This window comes from Homo sapiens, chromosome 9, assembly GCF_000001405.40.
Source record: "Homo sapiens chromosome 9, GRCh38.p14 Primary Assembly".
Lineage (NCBI taxonomy): Eukaryota > Metazoa > Chordata > Mammalia > Primates > Hominidae > Homo > Homo sapiens.
The window spans coordinates 132875766-132901976 of record NC_000009.12 but is presented as its reverse complement, the minus strand read 5'-3'; the positions used below and the strand labels follow the sequence as shown (position 1 = coordinate 132901976).

Genomic DNA, 26211 nt, shown 5'->3' with positions numbered 1-26211 from the left:
CATCCCTGTGAGTTTGCTGTGTAGCCTCAGGGCTCTTTGGTGCACAGTTTGGGAACTGAGGATCTAAGGTCTCTTTTTTTCTTTTGTTAAACAGTAAGGAACTCAGAAATCAACCATAACTTACTTTTTAAAACTAAGACATCAAATTCTGAGGGCCCAAGAAAGTAGAGCCGTTGAGCTAAGGCATTCCCAGTCCTCTGTGGGCTGGTGGCTAGGTAGGCCTGTGATCTGGCCTGTTGGTGTTCCTCAAACTTCATGTCCACGTCTCTTTGGGCAGACGAAGCTGGAGGACTGCAGGAACATGATTGCGGAGCTGCGGATAGAACTGAAGAAGGCCAACAACAAGGTGTGTCACACTGAGCTGCTGCTCAGTCAGGTTTCCCAAAAGGTAAGAAGAAATGAGGCAGACCTGAATCTGCTGAAACACCATTTGCTAACATTCTTCCTTCAGACAGGTTAAAGAAATAGATTACTTGAGTGTCTGTGTCATGGGTTCCCAACAGGAAGTGGTTCTGCTGCCCCCATAGTCCCTGACATTTGGCAATGTCTGGAGACATTTTAGGTTCATGTTTTTGGTGCTGCTGGTATCCAGTGGGTAGGAGCCAGGGTGCTGCCAAATATCCTACAATGCACAGGCAGCCCCCTGCAACAAAGAAGTATCCATCCTAAACCCTGCTCTATGTGTATCCCATGGAACTCTTTCTTCATACCTTGTTTACATAAATGTCAAAAGTTTGTTCAGGTTTTTGAGCGTGATTCCTCCTTCTTTGGGAATCACTGCACTTCATACATCATTTTGTCAAGAACGGTGAGTTTTCCCTAGGGCTTTATGCCACTGGGCCTTGGTGGTATACCTGTCCACCTTCTCCAGGTGTTCTGTGGGTGGTCAGTTTGATGGACTGCATTTGTGCTGTCCCCTTTGCAAAGCACAGTTCTGAAGTGTGTTTCTGTCTATTTTTGTTGTCCTTGGGTACCATCCTCCCCACCTGCCATTATGTCAGGGACTGTGAACCCATGGGACTGGTTTATTTTGCCTTAACATTGAAATAGTGTGCTCCTAGCTGATTCCCTGTTTAATGACGTCTATGTGCTAGTTTTATGTCGTCGGATTTTTCACTTTGCTCATGTTTTTTGGTTAGCTCTCAAACAGTGAGTCGGTCCAGCAGCAGATGGAGTTCTTGAACAGGCAGCTGTTGGTTCTTGGGGAGGTCAACGAGCTCTATTTGGAACAACTGCAGAACAAGCACTCAGATACCACAAAGGTATGCCAGGGCTCGGGAGCCAGACCTTAGTGGGGAAAGCGTTTCAGACCCAGACAGTATGTCTCCCGCATGGCATAGAGAATGGCTTGATGACTTATTTCCTAAAAGACGGAGCGGCAGTCCCACTACTCCGTGGTCCAGCTATACAAGCACTTTCCAGCCACCATGTGAGCTTGTTTCTCCTATTGGGTTGCTTTGAAGTTAACTCACACTGAAAGCACCTAATGGTAGTTGGTAGAGAGTAGGTGTAAAGTGTTTCCTTTCTCTTCCCTAGGCTGCCTTTCAAAGAGGGAGAGAGAAAAAGAAGGATGGGGGACCAATTCTGTTTAACATACCTCTCAGGACCATGGATATAGAGTGCTGTACATACCATTTTTTTTTTTCCTTTTAATGTTGGATTTCTGCAGATGGTAGTTCAGTCCTGGCAACAAGGCCAGCATTGGGATGATCTTACATTAATTAGTGCCTCACCAGTGGTGTCGAGGCAGAAGTTTTAAGTCACTTTATAAATAGCCTCAGGTAATGTTAGTGAATGAGGTGGGAATTGAATTTTAATAGTAGCTGTTCAGATACTTCCTGTCACTAACTTCTCCATCACACATGGGCCTTCTTTTTGGGTTTCTTGGGCATGTGCTTTGTAAAGAGTCTTTTTCGGCCGGATGTAGAGAGGAGTCTTAGAACTGGAGAGAGTAATTTTCCTAATAGAGTTACTCTTTATTTCTTGGCTCCTCTCAGCTCTCAGATTCAGACTCCCTTTTTTAGAAGGATGTTAGGTGTGGGACTTTCTCTAGAAAGCAGCTATCACTTATTTTGGAGGTGTAATGACTGGGAACAGAAAGGGGGAGAAACAGATCCGAGGCACAAGAGAGCTCCTGAAAAAGCTGCTGAAACGTGCCTGGGCCATCTCCTGAGAGAAGCCTAGATGGGCGGCCTCCAAGGAGTCCTTGTGCTGTTTGGGACCTTGAGTAGCTGCCTCTCCATGGGGCCCTGTTTCCCAGTTCATAAAACGGGTGATGCAGCTGAGTTGTGATAGTCAGGATGCCTTCAATTGTAGACAACAAAAACCAAACTAGGGCTGGGCACGGTGACACATGCCTACAGTGCCAACTATTTGGAAGGCTGAAATAGGAGGATTGCTTGAGCTCAGAAGTTCTAGACCAAGCCTAACAATATCCAAAAAAACAACAAAAACAAAAAGCACTCAACTGGCTTAACAGTGAAGAACTGTATTGTTTCACTTGACAAGAGGTTGTGAGGCAGGTGAGTTCCAGGTTGGTCAAGTTGGCCATTCAGGGACAGCATCGAGGAGCCAGGCTCTTTCCACTCTTCTGCACTGCCTTGCTTATCCTGCAGACCTTGTCTTCCAGCTAGCTGCACTCATGGTTGCCAGGTGTGTGCCACAGGCACAGATATGACAGGCAGACACAATGATGTCCCCACAGAAGAGGAGAGCATCTCTTCCTATTCCTCAGCAAGAAAATCTTTCCCAGGCTGGACGTGGTGGCTCATGCTTGTAATCCCAGCACTTTGGTAGGCCGAGGCGGGTGGATCACGAGGTTAGGAGAACGAGACCATCCTGGCGAACATGGTGAAACCCCGTCTCTACTAAAAATACAAAAAATTAGCCAGGTGTGGTGGCGCACACTTGTAGTCCCAGCTACTTGGGGAGCTGAGGCAGGGGAATCGCTTGAACCCCGGAGGCGGAGGTTTCAGTGGGCCGAGATCACGCCACTGCACTCCAGCCCGGTCAACAGAGCAAGACTCTGTCTCCAAAAAAAAGAAAAGGAAAAGAAAACCTTTCCCAGATGATCCCACCATACTTCTCATCACCCCTGTTGGCCAGGCCTGTCCTGTGCCCATCCCTAGCCTAGTCATTGCCTCAACCCAGTCAGGATTTGCTCCTGAACCTGGAGCTAGGGTTGCTCTTGTTCCATCCAAAGGAGGAGGAAGAGTGAGTGGTGGGGAATCAGGTGGGAACAGTTGGTAGGGGTAGCTGTAAGGATTAGTGAGAGTGCACGGATGTTCCTGGTTCAATGCTTTGCATGATTATCCATGAATAAGTCCTGTTGTTTATGACGAAGGCCAGATAGATGCGTTCATCCACCCTGTGCTGAAGTCGAGCCATTTAGCACAGCTGGAACAGCCGCATTATCCGAGAGCCAGTTCTGAGTTTCAATCAGTTGCGTTCTATAACAAGGAAGCATTGGGCTTACCAGACAGCATCAAGGCAGGGCGCCTTCGTGAAAGCTCATCTCCTTGCTGTTTATGGTTTATTATCTTTTTTAAAAAACAAATATATGGCAAGTTTTGTGTTTTGTATATTTTACCACGGTAAACATACACACACAAATGTAACACAGGCTTAAAAAAATACCCTTTCCGCCTTCTTTCTGAGCATTAGTGTGTACTTGCTCTGGGTTTCAAGCTGTTCCAATCTGTCGGCAGCAGGCCATCTGCCTTAGCACGATCAACAAACCTTGTCAGGGCATCCAGTCTGCAAAGGCTGCTTTGCTTGAGCAGACCTGCTCCATTGGCATTCCATTCTGTAGCCTCACCTGCGCTATTGTCAGGAGGGGGAGAAAAGGAGAAAGGAAAGCAAGTGACCTGCGGTACCACTGGACTGAAATGATAACTGGATAGTGGCGTATTTTCACTTGGTGTTTTGTATATGTATATGTTCGCATAGTTGATTGTACTATTCACACAGTCTTGTAGTCTGCTTTTTAATCTTTTTACTGACACCATATCATTTTTTAAAAAGACTTAGAAATATAGGATGTATTTTAATTTACTTAACTGTTCCCCTGACATTAGACTTAAACGATGTTTCCAGGTTTTTGCTCTTATAAATATGCTGTGATGATTATTTTTGTGCAAAATCTCTATTTATGTTTCACATGATTTGCTTGGGGATAGATTTCAAGGAAGGGTTACTAGGATAATACTACCAGCTTACTTTCCATAAAGTTGTACTAGTTTATATTTCTGTTATCAGTATACTAAAATGCCTTCTCAGTCCTTCTTACATTGTCTTTTCAAAATGGATACAGCATGTTTATTTTTTATAAGTACTAATTCCAGTCTTTTTTTTTTTTTTTTTTCAGGAAGTAGAAATGATGAAAGCCGCCTATCGGAAAGAGCTAGAAAAAAACAGAAGCCATGTTCTCCAGCAGACTCAGAGGCTTGATACCTCCCAAAAACGGATTTTGGAACTGGAATCTCACCTGGCCAAGAAAGACCACCTTCTTTTGGAACAGAAGAAATATCTAGAGGATGTCAAACTCCAGGCAAGGTAACTTTCATCAGGAAAGGCTTTTGTGTTTTTATTAAGTGGAACTTCCTATATTCTGGCTGGTCTGTATCTTTCAGAGGACAGCTGCAGGCCGCAGAGAGCAGGTATGAGGCTCAGAAAAGGATAACCCAGGTGTTTGAATTGGAGATCTTAGATTTATATGGCAGGTTGGAGAAAGATGGCCTCCTGAAAAAACTTGAAGAAGAAAAAGCAGAAGCAGCTGAAGCAGCAGAAGAAAGGTAGGAACAAAGAACTGATTCATGACCTTGGGACTAAGCTGCCAATTCCAGCATAAGGACTGTGTCACGTGGTGTGGGAAGCAGTTACTGCTGACTAGACAGGCTGCAACACTCAGCTCACTCCGTGTCAGAGACCCACTCTGACGTTCCTTTCCTCAAAACGCCCAGTGATCTCTTCGTGTTCGTGTTCCTGGCCTTGAGTCCCTCCATATGGCCACAGGAAGTGTTCACACTTAAGATTGCCACCTACTATCCCTAGTTGTGATTTAGGTTTCTCTTGATGAGATCTCTTGAGTCCAGTATTATAAAACAGAGAGTGGGCTAGCGGAGTTCAGTGTCAGTGTGAGTGAGTGTCAGTGTAATTCCACATCCTCCGAATGTGGACAGTCCAATCACCAGCTCCTTTTTTCCTCCCCGGCTTTCTTACAGGCTTGACTGTTGTAATGACGGGTGCTCAGATTCCATGGTAGGGCACAATGAAGAGGCATCTGGCCACAACGGTGAGACCAAGACCCCCAGGCCCAGCAGCGCCCGGGGCAGTAGTGGAAGCAGAGGTGGTGGAGGCAGCAGCAGCAGCAGCAGCGAGCTTTCTACCCCAGAGAAACCCCCACACCAGAGGGCAGGCCCATTCAGCAGTCGGTGGGAGACGACTATGGGAGAAGCGTCTGCCAGCATCCCCACCACTGTGGGCTCACTTCCCAGTTCAAAAAGCTTCCTGGGTATGAAGGCTCGAGAGTTATTTCGTAATAAGAGCGAGAGCCAGTGTGATGAGGACGGCATGACCAGTAGCCTTTCTGAGAGCCTAAAGACAGAACTGGGCAAAGACTTGGGTGTGGAAGCCAAGATTCCCCTGAACCTAGATGGCCCTCACCCGTCTCCCCCGACCCCGGACAGTGTTGGACAGCTACATATCATGGACTACAATGAGACTCATCATGAACACAGCTAAGGAATGATGGTCAATCAGTGTTAACTTGCATATTGTTGGCACAGAACAGGAGGTGTGAATGCACGTTTCAAAGCTTTCCTGTTTCCAGGGTCTGAGTGCAAGTTCATGTGTGGAAATGGGACGGAGGTCCTTTGGACAGCTGACTGAATGCAGAACGGTTTTTGGATCTGGCATTGAAATGCCTCTTGACCTTCCCCTCCACCCGCCCTAACCCCCTCTCATTTACCTCGCAGTGTGTTCTAATCCAAGGGCCAGTTGGTGTTCCTCAGTAGCTTTACTTTCTTCCTTTCCCCCCCAAATGGTTGCGTCCTTTGAACCTGTGCAATATGAGGCCAAATTTAATCTTTGAGTCTAACACACCACTTTCTGCTTTCCCGAAGTTCAGATAACTGGGTTGGCTCTCAATTAGACCAGGTAGTTTGTTGCATTGCAGGTAAGTCTGGTTTTGTCCCTTCCAGGAGGACATAGCCTGCAAAGCTGGTTGTCTTTACATGAAAGCGTTTACATGAGACTTTCCGACTGCTTTTTTGATTCTGAAGTTCAGCATCTAAAGCAGCAGGTCTAGAAGAACAACGGTTTATTCATACTTGCATTCTTTTGGCAGTTCTGATAAGCTTCCTAGAAAGTTCTGTGTAAACAGAAGCCTGTTTCAGAAATCTGGAGCTGGCACTGTGGAGACCACACACCCTTTGGGAAAGCTCTTGTCTCTTCTTCCCCCACTACCTCTTATTTATTTGGTGTTTGCTTGAATGCTGGTACTATTGTGACCACAGGCTGGTGTGTAGGTGGTAAAACCTGTTCTCCATAGGAGGGAAGGAGCAGTCACTGGGAGAGGTTACCCGAGAAGCACTTGAGCATGAGGAACTGCACCTTTAGGCCATCTCAGCTTGCTGGGCCTTTTGTTAAACCCTTCTGTCTACTGGCCTCCCTTTGTGTGCATACGCCTCTTGTTCATGTCAGCTTATATGTGACACTGCAGCAGAAAGGCTCTGAAGGTCCAAAGAGTTTCTGCAAAGTGTATGTGACCATCATTTCCCAGGCCATTAGGGTTGCCTCACTGTAGCAGGTTCTAGGCTACCAGAAGAGGGGCAGCTTTTTCATACCAATTCCAACTTTCAGGGGCTGACTCTCCAGGGAGCTGATGTCATCACACTCTCCATGTTAGTAATGGCAGAGCAGTCTAAACAGAGTCCGGGAGAATGCTGGCAAAGGCTGGCTGTGTATACCCACTAGGCTGCCCCACGTGCTCCCGAGAGATGACACTAGTCAGAAAATTGGCAGTGGCAGAGAATCCAAACTCAACAAGTGCTCCTGAAAGAAACGCTAGAAGCCTAAGAACTGTGGTCTGGTGTTCCAGCTGAGGCAGGGGGATTTGGTAGGAAGGAGCCAGTGAACTTGGCTTTCCTGTTTCTATCTTTCATTAAAAAGAATAGAAGGATTCAGTCATAAAGAGGTAAAAAACTGTCACGGTACGAAATCTTAGTGCCCACGGAGGCCTCGAGCAGAGAGAATGAAAGTCTTTTTTTTTTTTTTTTTTTTTTAGCATGGCAATAAATATTCTAGCATCCCTAACTAAAGGGGACTAGACAGTTAGAGACTCTGTCACCCTAGCTATACCAGCAGAAAACCTGTTCAGGCAGGCTTTCTGGGTGTGACTGATTCCCAGCCTGTGGCAGGGCGTGGTCCCAACTACTCAGCCTAGCACAGGCTGGCAGTTGGTACTGAATTGTCAGATGTGGAGTATTAGTGACACCACACATTTAATTCAGCTTTGTCCAAAGGAAAGCTTAAAACCCAATACAGTCTAGTTTCCTGGTTCCGTTTTAGAAAAGGAAAACGTGAACAAACTTAGAAAGGGAAGGAAATCCCATCAGTGAATCCTGAAACTGGTTTTAAGTGCTTTCCTTCTCCTCATGCCCAAGAGATCTGTGCCATAGAACAAGATACCAGGCACTTAAAGCCTTTTCCTGAATTGGAAAGGAAAAGAGGCCCAAGTGCAAAAGAAAAAACATTTTAGAAACGGACAGCTTATAAAAATAAAGGGAAGAAAGGAGGCAGCATGGAGAGAGGCCTGTGCTAGAAGCTCCATGGACGTGTCTGCACAGGGTCCTCAGCTCATCCATGCGGCCTGGGTGTCCTTTTACTCAGCTTTATAACAAATGTGGCTCCAAGCTCAGGTGCCTTTGAGTTCTAGGAGGCTGTGGGTTTTATTCAACTACGGTTGGGAGAATGAGACCTGGAGTCATGTTGAAGGTGCCCAACCTAAAAATGTAGGCTTTCATGTTGCAAAGAACTCCAGAGTCAGTAGTTAGGTTTGGTTTGGTTTTGGACATGATAAACCTGCCAAGAGTCAACAGGTCACTTGATCATGCTGCAGTGGGTAGTTCTAAGGATGGAAAGGTGACAGTATTACTCTCGAGAGGCAATTCAGTCCTGGGCAAAGGTATTAGTACAATAAGCGTTAAGGGCAGAGTCTACCTTGAAACCAATTAAGCAGCTTGGTATTCATAAATATTGGGATTGGATGGCCTCCATCCAGAAATCACTATGGGTGAGCATACCTGTCTCAGCTGTTTGGCCAATGTGCATAACCTACTCGGATCCCCACCTGACACTAACCAGAGTCAGCACAGGCCCCGAGGAGCCCGAAGTCTGCTGCTGTGCAGCATGGAATTCCTTTAAAAAGGTGCACTACAGTTTTAGCGGGGAGGGGGATAGGAAGACGCAGAGCAAATGAGCTCCGGAGTCCCTGCAGGTGAATAAACACACAGATCTGCATCTGATAGAACTTTGATGGATTTTCAAAAAGCCGTTGACAAGGCTCTGCTATACAGTCTATAAAAATTGTTATTATGGGATTGGAAGAAACACGTGGTCATGAATAGAAAAAAAACAAACCCAAAGGTAGGAAGGTCAAGGTCATTTCTTAGATGGAGAAGTTGTGAAAGATGTCCTTGGAGATGAGTTTTAGGACCAGCATTACTAAGGCAGGTGGGCAGACAGTGACCTCTCTAGGTGTGTCCACAGAGTTTTTCAGGAGAGAAAACTGCCTGACCTTTGGGACTAAGCTGCGGAATCTTCTTACTAAGCTTGAAGAGTGGAGAGGCGAGAGGTGAGCTACTTTGTGAGCCAAAGCTTATGTGACATGGTTGGGGAAACAGTCCAAACTGTTCTGAGAAGGTGAACTGTTACGACCCAGGACAATTAGAAAAATTCACCCACCATGCCGCACATTACTGGGTAAAAGCAGGGCAGCAGGGAACAAAACTCCAGACTCTTGGGCCGTCCCCATTTGCAACAGCACACATAGTTTCTGGTATATTTGTTGGGAAAGATAAAACTCTAGCAGTTGTTGAGGGGAGGATGTATAAAATGGTCATGGGGATGAAAGGATCTCTGAGACCACAGAGGCTCAGACTCACTGTTAAGAATAGAAAACTGGGTATGCGTTTCATGTAGCCAGCAGAACTGAAGTGTGCTGTGACAAGCCAATGTGAATTTCTACCAAATAGTAGAGCATACCACTTGAAGAAGGAAAGAACCGAAGAGCAAACAAAAGTTCTGCGTAATGAGACTCACCTTTTCTCGCTGAAAGCACTAAGAGGTGGGAGGAGGCCTGCACAGGCTGGAGGAGGGTTTGGGCAGAGCGAAGACCCGGCCAGGACCTTGGTGAGATGGGGTGCCGCCCACCTCCTGCGGATACTCTTGGAGAGTTGTTCCCCCAGGGGGCTCTGCCCCACCTGGAGAAGGAAGCTGCCTGGTGTGGAGTGACTCAAATCAGTATACCTATCTGCTGCACCTTCACTCTCCAGGGTACATGCTTTAAAACCGACCCGCAACAAGTATTGGAAAAATGTATCCAGTCTGAAGATGTTTGTGTATCTGTTTACATCCAGAGTTCTGTGACACATGCCCCCCAGATTGCTGCAAAGATCCCAAGGCATTGATTGCACTTGATTAAGCTTTTGTCTGTAGGTGAAAGAACAAGTTTAGGTCGAGGACTGGCCCCTAGGCTGCTGCTGTGACCCTTGTCCCATGTGGCTTGTTTGCCTGTCCGGGACTCTTCGATGTGCCCAGGGGAGCGTGTTCCTGTCTCTTCCATGCCGTCCTGCAGTCCTTATCTGCTCGCCTGAGGGAAGAGTAGCTGTAGCTACAAGGGAAGCCTGCCTGGAAGAGCCGAGCACCTGTGCCCATGGCTTCTGGTCATGAAACGAGTTAATGATGGCAGAGGAGCTTCCTCCCCACTTCGCAGCGCCACATTATCCATCCTCTGAGATAAGTAGGCTGGTTTAACCATTGGAATGGACCTTTCAGTGGAAACCCTGAGAGTCTGAGAACCCCCAGACCAACCCTTCCCTCCCTTTCCCCACCTCTTACAGTGTTTGGACAGGAGGGTATGGTGCTGCTCTGTGTAGCAAGTACTTTGGCTTATGAAAGAGGCAGCCACGCATTTTGCACTAGGAAGAATCAGTAATCACTTTTCAGAAGACTTCTATGGACCACAAATATATTACGGAGGAACAGATTTTGCTAAGACATAATCTAGTTTTATAACTCAATCATGAATGAACCATGTGTGGCAAACTTGCAGTTTAAAGGGGTCCCATCAGTGAAAGAAACTGATTTTTTTTAACGGACTGCTTTTAGTTAAATTGAAGAAAGTCAGCTCTTGTCAAAAGGTCTAAACTTTCCCGCCTCAATCCTAAAAGCATGTCAACAATCCACATCAGATGCCATAAATATGAACTGCAGGATAAAATGGTACAATCTTAGTGAATGGGAATTGGAATCAAAAGAGTTTGCTGTCCTTCTTAGAATGTTCTAAAATGTCAAGGCAGTTGCTTGTGTTTAACTGTGAACAAATAAAAATTTATTGTTTTGCACTACTCTGCTGTGTGGACATGGAGTGGCTTACACTGGCCTTGGCAGGCTTACAGGTCAAGCAGGGGACTGGTCCAAAGATACAAAGCCTTAGGGTCTGGTTTGGCTACCTTGGGTGACTGGAAGAGGAGCCTGACAAATAATGGATTTGGGCTTTTGTCTCTAAGAAGACCCTTTTTATTCTGGCAAATGGTCTGGTGCACAGCCACAAATCCTTCCTGTATCTGCCTCAAATTCATGCTCTTCCTCAATGAGTGGCCAAGTGGCATAGTGTGGGAGGGGGTGATTTGAATCCTGCCTACAGAAAAACCAAGAACCAGGCTGTCTGCAGGGGTGTGTGGCTCCTCCGTGCTGGCATGTTGGGTGTCCCATGTTTTGGTGGCACCACACTGACACTTCAGTGCTCCAGAGCTTGCCCTCTTGAGCCTTGCTGGTTGTGTTAATGTGAGTGTGCCAAGGAGACAGTACAGCTCCCAACATTCCCTTCTCCGTGCCCTTCATGGGCTTTAGAAGAAGGCCGGAAACTGCCTTTACACAATTTTGACATCTACCCTGGCTTATGATCTCTTGGCCTGGGACTTCCATATAAGGACCAGGGATGAATTTCATTTGTGATGTGGCTTTCAATTGCTTGCCTCTGCCTGGCTGTGTCTGGAAATCAGCGTTGCTCTGCCCATTTTATTTTTATTTGTTTTGTTTATTTATTTGAGACGGAGTCTCACTCTGTCGCCCAGGCTGGAGTGCAGTGGCCTGGTCTCAACTCCACTGCAACCTCCGCCTCCCAGGTTCAAGTGATTCTCCTGTCTCAGCCTCCCAAGTAGCTGGAATTACAGGCGCCTGCCACCATATCCGGCTAGTTTTTTTGTGTTTTTAGTAGAGACGGGTTTTCACCATGTTGGCCAGGCTGGTCTCGAACTCCTGGCCTCAAGTGATTCACCCGCCTTGGCCTCCCAAAGTGCTGGGATTACAGGCGTGAGCCACTGCACCCACCCTGCTCTGCCCATTTTAATGGTTGAAGCAACTCCTTTGAGACTAAGGCTGGGAGGCGGCAGTTTTTAATTTCTCTGGAAAATTCAGGTTTTCTTATCTGACTAGGTCTCTTAACTAGACTTCCCATCCTTGGAGGAAGATCTGATTGCTGGTCCTCTGGAGCTTGGGCATGAGCCTCTTAGAAGCCGACTTGAGACAGGCATGCCCCCTTGCCTAGGGTGGCCTCTCTCTCTGCTGTCTGCTGAGGCTTACTGCCCAGTGTCCTTTGATGTCTTAGGGGAGATGTAGGTTTTCTTTCAGGGATAAATCCCAGGAAACCAAGTCAGGCAGAGAGGTGGTAGAATACTTTTTATTCTTGACTGTCTCCCCCTGAGGAAGCAACAATAATACAGAAGCTAAGTCGTCCCCTGTGAAGGGAAAAACCAACAGTCAGACATTACTTTGGGCAAGCTCAGAAGCCAGGGACACATTTTACAATGTTTGGGGTTCGACTACGCTGTGAAAACCAGGTCATCGCCCTTGCTCAGGAGCCACAAAATCAGAATTCTGGCTTCTGTCATGGTCTCCCTCTCCCAAGTAAAGGCGAAGGAAAGGTGAGTTTATTCCCCTTTGGCTGTGGTCCAGAGAACTAAACACACTACTGAGTTCTGGCCAGGTGCCGTGGCTCACACCTGTAATCCCAGCACTTTGGGAGGCCGAGGCGGGTGGACCAGTTGAGGTCAGGAGTTCAAGACCAGCCTGGCCAACGTGGTGAAGCCCCGTCTCTACTAAAAAATATATATATATATAAATTAGCCAGGTGGGGTGGTGGGCGCCTGTAATTCCAGCTACTCAGGAGGCTGAGGCAGGAGAATCGCTTGAACCTGGAGGTGGAGGTTGCAGTGAGCCAAGATCGTGCCACTGCACTCCAGCCTGGGAGACAGAGTGAAACTCCATCTCAAAAAATAAAAAAATAAACACGCTGAGTTCCACATGCCGACCCCCACTCCATCCTGGAGGGGAGCATCCCTGGCTCGCAAACAGCGTGTGCCTTGCCTACAGTTGGGGCTGGTGGTGGGGCAAGGAGCAGATGGTCTCCAGCTTGATCACCCTCTGCAAAACTGCAGCCCGCAGCAGGGACAGGCGTGGCACTGGAGCCGGATGTGGCTCAAAGAGGACCTAGGTGACAGTTCAGTGCCCTCCTGGGACCCTCTACCACACCATCCTGTTTGGGCAACTTCTGTAAGTGGGTTTCCTCTTCATCAGCACGGAGCCTGATGCTTAGAAGTGGAAATGTTAGAAGTTAAAGCAAGAGGGCCGGGCGCTGTGGCTCACGCCTGTAATCCCAGCACTTTGGGAGGCCGATCACGAGGGTAGATCATGAGGTCAGGAGATTGAGACCATCCTGGCTAACATGGTGAAACGCTGTCTCTACTAAAAATACAAAAAATTAGCCAGGCGAGGTGGTGGGCGCCTGTAGTCCCAGCTACTTGGGAGGCTGAGGCAGGAGAATGGCGTGAACCTGGGAGGCGGAGGTTGCAGTGAGCCGAGGTTGCGCCACCGCACTCCAGCCTGGGCGACAGAGCGAGACTCCGTCTCAAAAAAAAAAGAAGTTAAAGCAAGAAGAGAGAGAGGAAGTCTCAGTAATATATTGGCTGATTCCCTTGGGGTTAGTAAGTGGCAGGGTCCATGGGTACCAGTGAAAAAAGGACCAACCAGTAAAATCCAAATTAAACAGCAAAGCTCTCCGCCGACGGAGCTCCTGGCTCTGAGTTACAATTTCCCACCAGGAGGCCTCCAGGGTGGTTTTGAACATCCCCTGGGTTTGAGGCTGGCTTTTGTGAGCTGTCTACACTTGTGTTTAGTGGCCCTGGGCTGGGTCCCTATGGCCTGGGCAGGACGAGCGGCTCCCCTGGTGCTCTCCTGGTGCGCCTGGGGCTCACTCACGTGCTGCAGCACCTTGCGCGGCAACTTCTCGGAGTGGGCGATCCATTCTTTCATTAAGTCTAGGATGAGGGGGATGAGGCTGACCACGCCGCCGTAGTGGTTCCGGGCCTCGTCACAGCTGAGGTGGTTCACCACATCATGAGGGTATCTGCAGGACGGCAGGGGGCCAGGTGAACCCATGCTCCCGGGACTTGCCATGCCGTGGCAAGCAGCTGCCACACCTCAGGCACAGCAGAGTCACCTGGGGAGGCTTTAGAACTGGACACACAGCACGCTGAGGCGCTCTGTCCCCAGAGATTCTGGCAGACCAGGCCTGGGGTGCCACAAGCCCCAGGTAATTCTGGTGTGAAAGACAGGAGATGCAAACCACTGCCCCATGGTCCGTAGAAACCTGGGTTAGGGGTGAGGAACTGGCTGGCTCATCCCTCTGGCTCTTCTCACCCTGGTATCTACAGAGCTTCCCCAGGCTCTGGCCCACTGTGCTGCAGGCTCCCGGGCTGTCAGGATGAGGAGCCCTCAGTGCCAGTGCTGCTGCCCCTGGGAGGCGGCTCTGGTGTCCACTTCTTTGCATGTCAGTGAGGATCTCTGTGGGCTTCTGGGGGCAACTGCTCTGGGCTCTACACCCCCTTCTCCACCTGCCTGGTGCTAACACCCGTGAGACACCTGGTGTCCTGCCATGTCTACGATGGTTGTAAAGAAAAGGTTTTGTTGAATCCGAGTCATTCCAATAAATGAGTGGAGACTGGGATTTCCTGCCCGGGGTGGTCTAATAGGAGCACCATGATCCAGGCAACAGGAAAGAAGCAGGACAGAGGCCTCCCCACAGGCACACACGGGGCCTCAAGAGCAGCATCAGAGGGACTTACTTTGCTCTGAGGCTGCTTAAGTCGTTGCTTTGGCTAACGAGGGTTTTGCATTTCTCCAGGAGGTTGTTGGTGACTGGGGTGCCAGAGTGCACGGCCTCAAAGTGCTGGCAGAGCTTATTCAGCTCTGAACAGATGTCCAGGAACATGAGCAGAACCCGCCGGTCTGTGGAGCTGTTGCAGTAGTGTTCCATGTAGCTCTGCACCTGCAAGGGCCGCCGCCACATGAGCTGGGGACATGCCAACCCGGGTCCTGGCTGGCTTATGGTGCAAATGTCCAGAAGCACCCACCCTACTCCCTCCCACCCTACATGACTCATGGGGGAGACGCAAGTAACGCTTAAGCATTTTAAGGTACAGACCACTCTATATAGTGGTATCTCTCTCTCTATAGATGGATGGATGGATGGATGGATGGATGGATGGATGGATGGATAGATATGATATGAAATTAATGGATCGGTTGGGCACAGTGGCTCACACGTGTAATCCCCGCACTTTGGGAGGCTGAGGTGGGCGGGGATCACTTGAGGTCAGGAGTTCGAGACCAGCCTGGTCAACATGGTGAAACCCCATCTCTACTAGGAAAAAAAAAATTAGCCAGGCGTGGTGGCACGTGCCTGTAATCCCAGCTACTCGGGAGGCTGAGGCAGGAAAACCACTTGAACCCGGGAGGAGGAGGCTGCAGTGAGCCGAGATCATGCCACTGCACTCCAGCCTGGGTAACAGAGCAAGATGCCATCTCAAAAACAAAAAATTAATTAAATTAAATGGACGGATGGATGGGTAGATAGATAGATGGATATAAAATCAAGTGTTCCAGGCACCATGCAAAATGCTTTACGGGCCTGCTCTCGCCTGTCTTCATCTAAACCCTACACACTGAGCAGGTACCTTTTTAAATTCCCATTTTACAGATCAGTACCATGACATGAACACTGGAGGTTTGCAGAGGTGAAATAACCCGCCCAGGGCACCAGTGGCTTAGTTGGGTGTCCCCAGCTCAGTGGCTCCGTGCCCTACCCCTCACCTGTCCCCTGCCACCTGAACCAACCACCGCCTAAAGCAAAAGGGGGCTGCCCCCTGACTTAATGCCACAGTGCCTGTCATCCCACTTCTAGAGGGTTCATTGTGAGAAATTCCAGCGTGGGCCACCCATACTGAGAGGGAAACAGCAGGGACTGGAATCCTTTGGGCTTCAGCCGTACTGTGTTCACAAGGTGGAGAAGGAGGGGCAGGCCAGTAAGTGGAGCTTATGGGGTTACCCAGTGACTGCATCTGAGGTTGGGCCAGAGCCGGAGGTCTGATCTCGAGCTAGGGAGGAATTGGCTGTGGTCCAGGCCAGATGAACAGACCCATTTCGTAGTCAGATGGTTCTACTCTCCACAATCTGATGACAGATGCAGGTATCACCTCCTCCAGCACCCACAAAGGTCTACATCTAAATCAGGGTTTTCTTGCTGTAACCGTTTGTCTTTTTGTTGCTAGGGGATGTTTCCCCAAACAATCTGAAGTGGTTCCTTCCCAAGGACTGCCATGCACAAGCAGCTTCGTAAGGGGGAGAGGCTCTTCACACTCATACCCACAAAGGCACCTGTAGGGGTCGAGGAGGAGGAACCTGCCCCATGGTGTAACTACAACAGAGCATTGCGGGGGTGGGGGGCGGTGTGCAGGGAACCTTTGGACACTTCTGGTTCAGGGAGGGCAGGGGAGGGGTGAGGCAACTCAGAACACAAGGCCACTGTTTACCAAGAGCCTTCGGCTGAACCTAAGGCAAGAAGGCCACTCCCTTATGCATGGATGTAGATTCTGGGAAGGGACACTTGTTGACTTTTGAAGCTTCTGGAGGATGGACTAAAAAGGATGTAGGCAGTTTCTTTTCTTTTTTCCCCCGAAGTCCAGGTTTACAGAAGAGGAAGTTTATTTTCCAATAGCTCAGGGGCTGCATGCGTGGGCAAATATGGCTAAATTGGCTAAATGTCACAAGTCGGTGAATCTGGGTGAGGGTTATATGGGTGCTCCTTTTCTGTACATTTAACTTTTTTTTTTTTTTTTTTTTTTTGAGACAGGGTCTTGCTGTGTCACCCAGGCTGGAGTGCAGTGGTGCGATCTCGGCTCACTGCAGCTTCTGCCTCCAGGGTTCATGTGATTCTCATGCCTCAGCCTCCCGAGTCACTGGGACTACAGGCGCGTACCACCACAACTGGCTAATTTTGGGATTTTTAGTAAAGATGGGGTTTCACCATGTTGGCCAGGCTGGTCTCCACTCCTGGCCTCAGGTGATCCACTCACCTCGGCCTCTCAAAGTGCTGGGATTACCGGCATGAGCCGCTGTGTCTGGCCTCTATATTTAACATTTTTTTGAGTTAAAAAATTGAGGAAACATTTTACCAAAATTAGAAAAAAAAAGTGTTTTTTTTCATTTTTTTGTTTTTGTTTTTGTTTTGTTTTGTTTTGTTTTTGAGACGGAGTCTCACTCTGTCGCCCAGGCTGGAGTACAGTGGCGCAATATCGGCTCACTGCAACCTCCACCTCCCAGATTCAAGCAATTCTCCTGCCTCAGCCTCCCGAGTAGCTGGGATTACAGATGCGCACCACCACGCCCAGCTATTTTTGTATTTTTAGTAGAGACAGGGTTTCACCATGTTGGTCAGGCTGGTCTCAAACTCCTGACCTCATGATCCACCTGCCTCGGCCTCCCAAAGTGCTGGGATTACAGGCATGAGCCACCACGCCTGGCCAGAAAAAAATGTTTTTAAAGGATGCTGCCAGCAAGGGTTGCTTGTTCCTCCCGAGCCTGTTTCTCCTCTGCAGTTCTGAGCCCTGCGCCTGTTCCCACCCATCTTGGGGCAGTTACCCTTCCACAAGCTGACTCCCTCCAAGCTGTGAAGGGCCGGCCTGTGTGTGTTCCTAACTGCACTGCAGCTCCAGCCCCTAACATCCTGGAAGGATCATTTGGTCTTGAGGCCTCCAAGTCCTGCACAGCAAACCTGGACAGCAGCTAACCCTGGAGGAGATGCAGGTTAAATAAAAACATCTGCGAAAGCACCTGGCGGTGTGCTTGGCATCCCACAGTTCCTCAACCCCCAGTGGAATCTGATGGGAAGGACAGGATCCCTCTGGTCACCAGTAAATCCCTGGTTTTCTATGGGTGACCACTGAACCTGCGTCACAGATGAGGACACTGAGGCACAGAAAGGTGAAGTCATTGGCCTGAGATCACAGCAGTGGCACATGGTAGAGCTAGGACTTAAGCCCTGGCCGGCTGAGTTTTAAACCTGCCTCTTTATTCACTTGTTGTTATTCACTTACATATTTGGTAGAGAAACGAATGAAGGACTCATTACATCATTTAGGTTCTGGGTCCGGGTCCTAATTCTGGCGCAAACGTCCTTCCCCTCTCTGGGCCCCAGTGGTTTCATCTTTTGTGAGAGGGGACTGGGCTTGTTGCCCCTCGGCCGGGGTGGGGGTCGGGAGCCCCACCTGTCCAATGCTGGAGATGGGCCGGATCTTGTCGTGGGCGTTCTCCCTGCAGTGCTCCAGAGCGGCGGTGAAGGTGAGCTGCTGCTGCTGGAAGAGCTTGTACTTCTGCTCGATGCTGCGAAGGGATTCTTTCACCTCATTCATTGTCTTCCTCTGTGGTCATTTACAGGAGAAGAGGAATCTATGGGGAGACAGAGGATAGTGATGAGGTCCTGGGACCCAATGCTCGGATCCAGCTCCGGAGGGAAGGACTGTCAGGGGAGAGGGATACCCATGGCCCCTCTCACTGGAGCGCCTTGTGAGTGCCTCCCCACAGAAGAAAGCGAGGCCCTGGGAGGCTGCACACTTGTCCAGAGCCCCCAGGCTGTCCATGACAGAGCTGAGCCTGACCTCGAAATTTACCCTCCATGAACACATTCTTTGCCAGGAAATGTGACTTCTTCCCTCAGCTGTGGACAGAGTTTCTCTGGTTCTGTTTCTCCAGATGTGGGTATCTACACACACGCGCGCACACACACACGCACACACATGCATGTGCACACACATACAGGTACATGCATACACACACACACGCACGCGTGTACACACACGCCCTCCAATCCCTTGCTGTGGTGTCAGCAAAACCTGGGATCAAGGGATATGCCACAGGATATAAAACCAGGAGATGATCAGTTTGGATCAAATTATTGTAAAGCTGCTCTGCAACTGGTGGGAAAGTCTGGGAATTCCTTCCCATGGATTAAGCGGGGAGAAGAATCAATACTAGACTGTCTAGTTTGAGAAGATGTAAGTCTGCCTGCTCTGGGCTGGGGGCAGGAGCCTTGGTCTCAGGTTTGCGCATTCTCAGGGCAGGGCTGGTGGCTAGTGGACTGCCCCCTGACCCTGTTAATTGCTGGAATGCCATGATCAGTAACATGGAGGCTGTGGGGAGGACTCTCTCTTGGCGCCTCACAGACTGTCCCTGCTGTGATTTAGGTGCTCCACAGAGCATCTACAATCCTCCTGTGAGCAGAAAAGTCTGTGGGTGTGTGCTCCATGACATCACAGTTTTGCTGAGCGCGTGCAAAATGCTCCAGACCACAGATTTCTATTCATGTTAGAGCTGGAAGGGACTGAGAAAACCAGCTCCCTTGAGCTGCTATGGGGAAAGTGAGGCTCAGAGGGAAAGGTTTTGCCCAGGGTGTCACAGCAAATTTGTGCCCAAGACACCCTGGGTCCTAGGCTTCCTTACGTCTAACCAGCATCGTCAGTGCTGCCACACTCGGCTGCCCCTCCACTGCCTCCAGAACAAAGGCCAGGCTCGAACGTGTCACCACATGAGCAGGGGTCAGAGAAGGCTGTGCTGAGCTCAGGTCCAGTCCAAGGGAGATGTTGGAGATGGAAGGGGCCAGAACATTTAGCATGGACTGGGGCAGGGAAGGCACATTCCAAGCTTCCAAGCAGGTCCCAGGTGGATAGGAATAACAAGACGGGGCTGGGAAATATTTCTTTCTGCTGTGTCCAGAGCAGGGCTGGAGCTGGGGGTCCAGTTTGAACCCAGGAGGTCAAGGCTCCAGTGAGCCATGATCGCAGTACTGCACTCCAGCCTAGGACACAGGGAGACCCTGACTCAAAAAAAAAAAAAAAAAAGAGGCAGGGTAGGGGGAGCATCCCAGTTGATGCAAGAAGAGATGGCATCAGAGGAATGAAAGGAAACACAAGAACAGACCAGGAGATGGCCTCCGCGAGATGATGGGGGTGGTACATCAGAGCACTTGGAGGAGGCTGGGGAAGAGGCCCTTTAGCAAGATGGAGCCCAGCCATGGAGCCTCTATCCCTGGAGCCAAAAGCCAGCAAGGCTGCCTTAGAGGAGCCACCTTAAGAGCCACTGAGTGAGTCTCCTGGAAAGACAAGAGAGTATGCTTCTGCAGCAGAGCCACAGCACTGTGACTGTCAACAGACACAGGGACAGTCGCAGCTGCCCTGGGGGTGGGCCTGGGCCAGGGCAGGCAGGGCAGGGGCCTCTTTCCAGCTCAACCTCCTATGGAAAGGAGAGCTGAAGGTGGGGAATGAGATGGGGGGTCCATGGTTTATTGACACCTGCCATATCCTTGGCTGGTCCCTGCCACATGGAGCAGACATGCTGACTCACGCACAGTGGTTTCCTGTTGTGCCTCCCGTGGTGTCCGGCTCACCCAGGACCAACTAGGGTGAGGTGAGGGAGACACTTGCCCCCATGCAAAACTTAAGGAGGCGCCAAAAAACTCGGCAATCAAGATGAAAATAGGCCAGGCACAGTGGCTCATGCCTATAATCCCAGCACTTTGGGAGGCTGAGGCAGGAGGATCGCTTGAACCCAGGAGGTCAAGGCTGCAGTGAGCCATGATCGCAGTACTGCACTCCAACCTGGGTGACACAGTGAGACCCTGTCTCAAAAAAAAAAAAAAGCATCTTGAGTAGCTGGGATTACAGGTGGGTGCCACTACACCTGGCTATTTTTTGTATTTTTAGTAGAGATGGAATTTCACCACGTCAGCTAGGCTGGTCTTGAACTCCTGGCCTCAAGTGATCTCCCTTTCTCAGCCTCCGAAAGTGCTGGGATGATAGGCATGAGCCACTGTACCCAGCCCCAAAAACGTTTTTTAAAGAATGGGTCTTGCTCTTTCACCCAGGCTGGAGTGTGGTGCTGTGATCACGACTCACTGCAATCTTGACCTCCTGGGCTCAAGTGATCCTCCCGCCTCAGCCTCTTGAGTAGCTGGGACCTCAGGTATGTGCCACCATGCCTGACTACCTTTTTTCTTTTTTTTTTTTTCTTCTTTTTTTTCTTTTTTTTTTTTCTTTTTTTTTGTAGAGATGGGGTCTCCCTATGTTGCTCAGGCTGGTCTCGAACTCCTGGGCTCCAGCGATCCTCCCACCTCAGCCTCCCAATGTGCTGGGATTAGAAGCATGAGCTGGCAACATCAGAATTTGTAAAGAAAAGATTGCTGGCTGGGCGCGGTAGCTCACGCCTGTAATCCCAGCACTTTGGGAGGCCGAGGTGGGTGGATCACGAAGTCAGGAGATTGAGACCATCCTGGCCAACACGGTGAAACCCTGTCTGTAATAAAAATACAAAAAAAGTTAGCCGGGCACGGTGGCGGGCGCCTGTAGTCCCAGCTACTCGGGAGGCTGAGGCAGGAGAATGGCGTGAACCTGGGAGGCGGAGCTTGCAGTGAGCCGAGATGGCGCCACTGCACTCCAGCCTGGGCGACAGAGCAAGACTCCATCTCAAAAAAAAAAAAAAAAAAGATAGCTGCACCTTGCCATACTGAGGCCTGAGGCAAAAGGAGAAATCAGTAACACTGAGCCTACCTTTACTTAAATTTTTGACATGTTATTCTAAATGGATTTTAGGCAGCATTATTTTTGATTTTTAAAATATATTGCATTAAAACGTGAAAAACATCCACCTCAATGATTGAATTGCCGGCACTCCCTTAAGTTTTGTGCTGAGGGTGCATCACTTGCCTTGCCCTAATGTTGGCCCAGGGCTTACAAATGACTCAAAGGTGAAGCTCCAGAAAAGTGAGAGAGAGCACATAGGTGGAGTTCCAGGGAGAAAGGGCGTGTGCCCTTTCGGCCTGGCTTTTCCCTCATCATGGTGGGAGCTGTGGTTGGTAGTGGTTGAGAGGAACTGACTCTGTTCTTGATCCTAGCAACTTGTGACATGCACGCCAGGAATGTCATGAGAGGAGCTGTAATAAGCTATCCGAAGTGATCGTCCCTTGAACGAGAGCCACTGCAGCCAAATTAGTGTGGATGAAGGGCACAGGGGACGGGCACTTCTCGATCTGGGGGAGGAGGGAGGAAAAAAATGATTACCCATAGGTTTTAGGCTTTAATTGATTTGTATTTTTCCAGGCTGCTAAAGAAGATTGAATCATGGTAGGAAAAGCGCCTAGGGCTTAAAATAAATGAGGAGAAAGGCAAGTCATTTCAGAAATGTCCAGGAAGCAAAACAAACCTCTCCAGTGCAAATGGCAGGCATGGCTGTTGTGTTCTTTGCTCAGGGGGAGGCAGCTTCCTTTTCTTCCCCAGCTATCTTTACAGTTGGGTTTGACAAGCCTACCAAGGTGTACACACTTTGAGGAAGCGGTTTGGAGGGGAAGAGGCAACAGTGCTGGCTTTTACGTTGGGAGGGCATGTCTCTGGGCTGATGGCTGGTAGAAAAGGGCTTTAGCTGGAGCCTGGATGCAGAGTTCATGCCCTGGCTCTGCCCAATCTAACCAGTGGCCCTAGCCAAGATTTCCCCCTTTTCTGGGCCTCAGTTTATCCATCTGTCAAATGAGAGAGTTTGGATTAGCCTCTTCTTCAAGAGGCCTTCTGGTTCTAAGGCTGTATGATCAACAACTGATGAGAAAAGAAGCCCAGAAAGGGGAAGTGACTCACCCAAAGTTACCCAGCCAACCACTCCTCATTGTTCTAATCCTCCAACTTCTCATCTGTAAAATGGGAATGAAGGTGCCTATTTCACAGGATTGTTGGAACGATTAAATGAGATACTACTACTAATAGTAGCCCCATATATTGTGTGCTTACTGCATGCCAATTACTCTCCAATACATTAGCTCCTGAAATCCTTCAGCAGTTCCCTCTTCACAGGGCAGGAAAGTGAGGCACGGAGCAAGCAGAGAGTTTGCCAAGCTCACACAGTAAGAAGCGGAGCCAGAACTTGAAGCTGGGGCTGTCTGCATTGACTGTGCCATTTTCCCTCTCCATAAGGTACAGAGACAACAGAATTTTGCCGAGAGCACAAAGAGTTCAACAAACTCTTACAGCTCCTACGATTAACGGCAACAGACAAGAGCTAGAGATCCCAATTCAGTGTTGCGACTAATAAAATATCAAGCTGCCCCGTACCACTGGGAATTCATACGACTTAAAAAGCTCCGTCTCCAGCGCGAACCTTCCCCTCGCCCCCACCCCGAGACAGCTGTGCAGGCCCCTCCATCCTCCGGACCCCTCCATCTTTCCATCCTCCACCCCAGCTTCCAGTTTCTGACCCAGAGGCCGGGGTGGGGTCCGAGTGGGCCCACCCACACTCATCCCTGTTTACCCTTGCTTGTCCTAGAGCGCTCTTCGCTCCACGGAGCACCCAGAGAAGTTGGAGTGACTCCGTGAGTGTCGGTGCCCCGGAGGGTGGGGAGGCCCGTTCCAGGACTTGGGAGGCGAGGGTGGGTGGGGACGTCGGGCGAGAAGGGGCGGGGCCGCGGGCGTGATTGTTACCGCCGGTGCCATAGCAATCGGGTCACTTGGCGGCTTGGCCAGAGCCGGGGAGCTGGGAGGGGTCTACCGGGGCTCGACTCTAGGAGTTGGGCTGAGGATTTCCACCCGATCCTCGAACCTCCGGCCCATCTCATGGACGCCCCTCCCCCTTCAAACACCCTCCCCCACATTTATTCCCGCGTCTGTTTTAAAGATGGGTAAACTGAGGCACAGGGAGCCGGGCCGGGGAGCACTGACAGAACCAGAAGCAGGTTCTGCCTCCCGTCCCCTCGGAGGGCCGACTTGCCCCTTCTGGGTTTCGTCGGGGGTCTCAGATACGAGGAGGCCCAGCTGGAAGCCACCTGAGGGTGTCCCCCGCTAAGATGCGCAAATGGGAAAAGCGAGGCCGGGGTTGGGGAAAGAACTTGCCCGAGCCGCAGAGCGCGTCAGCCGGGGAGGTCGGGGCGGGGGCGACCCGCGCGACCGAGGATCGGGTATCTGGGCCCGGCGCGGAGCCTGCAGGGCGGGGCCGCGGCGCGTGCTGATGACGCAGTCGGCGCGGCGGCCCTAGCGACGCGGTTACTAGGGAGCGGCGAGCCGAGACGGCTACATGGACGCCACTATCGCCCCGCACCGTATCCCCCCCGAGATGCCCCAGTACGGGGAGGAGAACCACATCTTCGAGTTGATGCAGGTGACCGGACACCCCTGCCCGTCGCGACGCTGGCGGCGGCTCGGGAGCCTCCACTGCGACGTCGGGTGCGCGGCCGGGACCCGCAGCTGGGGCCGAGTCGCGCGCCCACGAAGCAGCCCAACTCGGGATGTACGATTCGTGTGTCGCCGTGACCCCGAGGGGGCCCTCGAGCTGGGGACGCTCCTGGTCCTGCCCGGGTTTGCCTCAGGCGGACCCAGGGGGAGGAAGGGGGCCACTCGAGCCGGGATTTGGTCCTGGCTGTGCCGCCAGCGGGCCTTATGGTCTGGAACCAGTCCTTTCCTTTTCTCGGTTTCCCCACCTGTGAAATGCCAGGTTGCAAGAGGTGGTCTCCCAGGGGCTCTCCCGGCGCTGACAATTACCATCTGTCGAATTTGTGGGGAGCCTCTCGGCCCAGGTTTCTGAGGTGGGCATTGTCCGAGTTCAAGCTGGCATCTCCATCCTCAGAGAGGGCCGCCTCTGGGACAGCAGCATCTCCCACCTTGGTCCCTCCTCCTCAGGGCCAGACGTCCCCGGCAGCTCCGAAGCTCTCATTCTGGCTCCAGGCCTGACTGGGCCCCCAGCTCACCGTGTGACTTTGGGCGAGGCCCCGTCCCCGCCAGGGCCCCAGTTTTCCCTTTTGCACGTGGTGGAGGTCAAGGCTTTCAGGAGCTGGAGGGGAAGAACTCTCAGCCACTCAAAGGTTCTGAGAGGCAAGGGGAAGCTGGAGCTCAGTTTTCAGATCATTTGTCTGCTTCCCAGGGTACACCCCATCCCCAGGGGCATGGCATGGAGGGCATAGTGGTGTCTGTGGTCATTTGAGGTTCTGCCCTGCACACTAGACAGCTGAGCCCAGACGAAGAAACCCGTGTCTGCACCTCCATCAAACACATTTCCCTCGGAAAGTGTTAACTGATAGAGGGAGAGCAAGAGATTCCTAAAACTGCTTGAGTGGCCAATCACAAATCAAATAGCTAGCTGGGTTAGAAGTCAGCAGGTCAGGGCAGGATGGGGGATCATCTGGAGCCCTGTTGTCTGCTCTAGAGAACCTGGTGTGTTTTCCACATTGATTGTTGGAGGAATTGCCCAGGAAAGCTTTTATTGATTTTGAAACAGGGTCTTGCACTGCTGCCCAGGCTGGAGTGCAGTGATACAATCATGGCTTACTGCAGCCTTGAACTCCTGGGCTCAAGCAATCCTTCTGCCTTAGTCCCTCCAGAGTAGCCGAGACTACAGGTGCAGGCCACCATACCTGGCTAATGTTTTTTTTTTAATTTTAGTACAGACGAGGTCTTGCTATGTTGCCCGGACTGGTCTTGAACTCCTGGGCTCAAACAGTCCTTCTGCCTCGGCCTCCCAACAAGAAAGCTTTCAGTCCAGTATTTCCAGTCCTTAGTCATCTGTGGATTCCCTCCATGTTTTTGACCATTTCCATTTTTTATACTTTTGATTTTAAAATAATGTTAGATTCACAGGAAGTTAAAAAATAGTATGGATTTCTGGTCTCCCCTCCCACATTGCCCCCGTGATAACATCTAACATAACTGTAGCACATTGTCAAAACCAGGAAACTGGCATTGGTACAATAGGATTACCTGAACTGTAGGCCTTGTTTGGATTTCCTCCATTTTTACCTGCATTGATGTTTTTGTTGTGCATACAGTTCTGTGCAGTTGTATCACATGTACAGATTTGCATAACCGCTACTGCACCTCCATTTAAACTAATCACTTGTTTAAATCAACTCACCTTTTAAAAAATTAAATAGCCGCTTTTGCCTCATCCTAAGTGATATCCTTGAAATTATTGATTTGATGTACTTATATTTCTAATACACGTTAAATACACAATGATTTAAACATGAAATGTAAAATATTTATGTGTGAACCATCTAAAATCATCTCATTCCATCATCGCACCAGTGACATACAAACATGAATTCACTCCAGCTGTGCTACTGAACAGGCAGAGAAGCTGAGGCCCAGAGAAGGGAAGGGACTTGCTGATGAGATACAGTGGGGCTGGAACCAAGACTTCTCATGGCTCGGTGCTCTTTCCCTGCCCCACACTCCCTTCACTCCAAGAGGGCTACAGCCCCTCCCTCCTTGTCCCTGGGGCTCAAGGATACCCCTTATTGCAGCAGCACAGCTGCTATGAGCTCCTCCTCATTTCTCTGCCTAGGGTTCTGCAACCCCAGAAGCTGCTTTCTCTTGATATGCTTGCCTGATTGGATGAAATGGCCAGAATATCCCAGGACTATTTAGAAATCTGGCTGGTAACATTCTGTTCCATTCTGGAGAGACACAGTTAGTGGTGACGGTCATGTTCCCCAGCAAACATCTGCGCTGGGCATCTGCTATGACTGCCAGGTATTGGGGTGCCAAGGGCTCTAGGCAGACAAGGAGGCCC

The 26211-nt window shown here is 50.2% G+C and overlaps 3 protein-coding genes across 70 annotated transcripts in view; 2 read left to right on the top strand and 1 right to left on the bottom strand.

The window, feature by feature from the left end:
• TSC1 (TSC complex subunit 1) overlaps nt 1-10628 on the top strand; it is a 54030-nt gene extending 43402 nt beyond the window's left edge. For 38 of the 49 annotated variants that reach the window (NR_176214.1, NR_176218.1, XM_011518979.3 and 35 more), the window contains 5 exons: nt 278-388; nt 1140-1262; nt 4367-4554; nt 4632-4793; nt 5223-10628. Coding sequence is in view for 44 of the 49 variants with exons in the window: in XM_011518979.3 (XP_011517281.1) it covers nt 278-388; nt 1140-1262; nt 4367-4554; nt 4632-4793; nt 5223-5742 (1104 nt within the window). In the remaining 5 variants the exon portion in view is untranslated. The remainder of the gene's footprint in view (nt 1-277; nt 389-1139; nt 1263-4366; nt 4555-4631; nt 4794-5222) is intronic. The other 11 variants (NM_001406625.1, NM_001406613.1, NM_001406609.1 and 8 more) reach the window with 2 other exon arrangements.
• Nucleotides 11663-23633, bottom strand: SPACA9 (sperm acrosome associated 9). Of its 9 annotated transcripts, XM_047422697.1 has the most exons (6): nt 22963-23079; nt 22296-22348; nt 17886-18066; nt 14406-14608; nt 13540-13687; nt 11776-12020 (listed from the first exon to the last, which is right to left on the bottom strand). In XM_047422697.1, the coding sequence occupies exons 3-6, from the start codon at nt 18027-18029 to the stop codon at nt 12009-12011; spliced, it is 507 nt and encodes a 168-aa protein (XP_047278653.1). In that variant the 5' UTR covers nt 18030-18066; nt 22296-22348; nt 22963-23079; the 3' UTR covers nt 11776-12008. The 9 variants fall into 9 exon arrangements, 8 of the variants coding, with proteins under 8 accessions (XP_016869720.1, XP_047278653.1, XP_024303165.1 ...); XM_017014231.2 differs by lacking the exon at nt 22296-22348 and having other exon boundaries at nt 11663-11982; XM_024447397.2 differs by lacking the exons at nt 22296-22348; nt 22963-23079 and adding an exon at nt 23541-23633.
• Nucleotides 22931-26211, top strand: part of AK8 (adenylate kinase 8) — a 153469-nt gene continuing 150188 nt past the window's right edge. For 10 of the 12 annotated variants that reach the window (NM_001371772.1, XM_011518278.3, NM_001317958.2 and 7 more), the window contains exon 1: nt 23693-23805. In NM_001371772.1, the coding sequence (NP_001358701.1) occupies nt 23722-23805 (84 nt within the window). In that variant the 5' untranslated portion in view covers nt 23693-23721. Of the gene's footprint in view, nt 23024-23692; nt 23806-26211 lie in introns of those variants that run through there. The other 2 variants (NM_001371771.1, NM_001371773.1) reach the window with 1 other exon arrangement.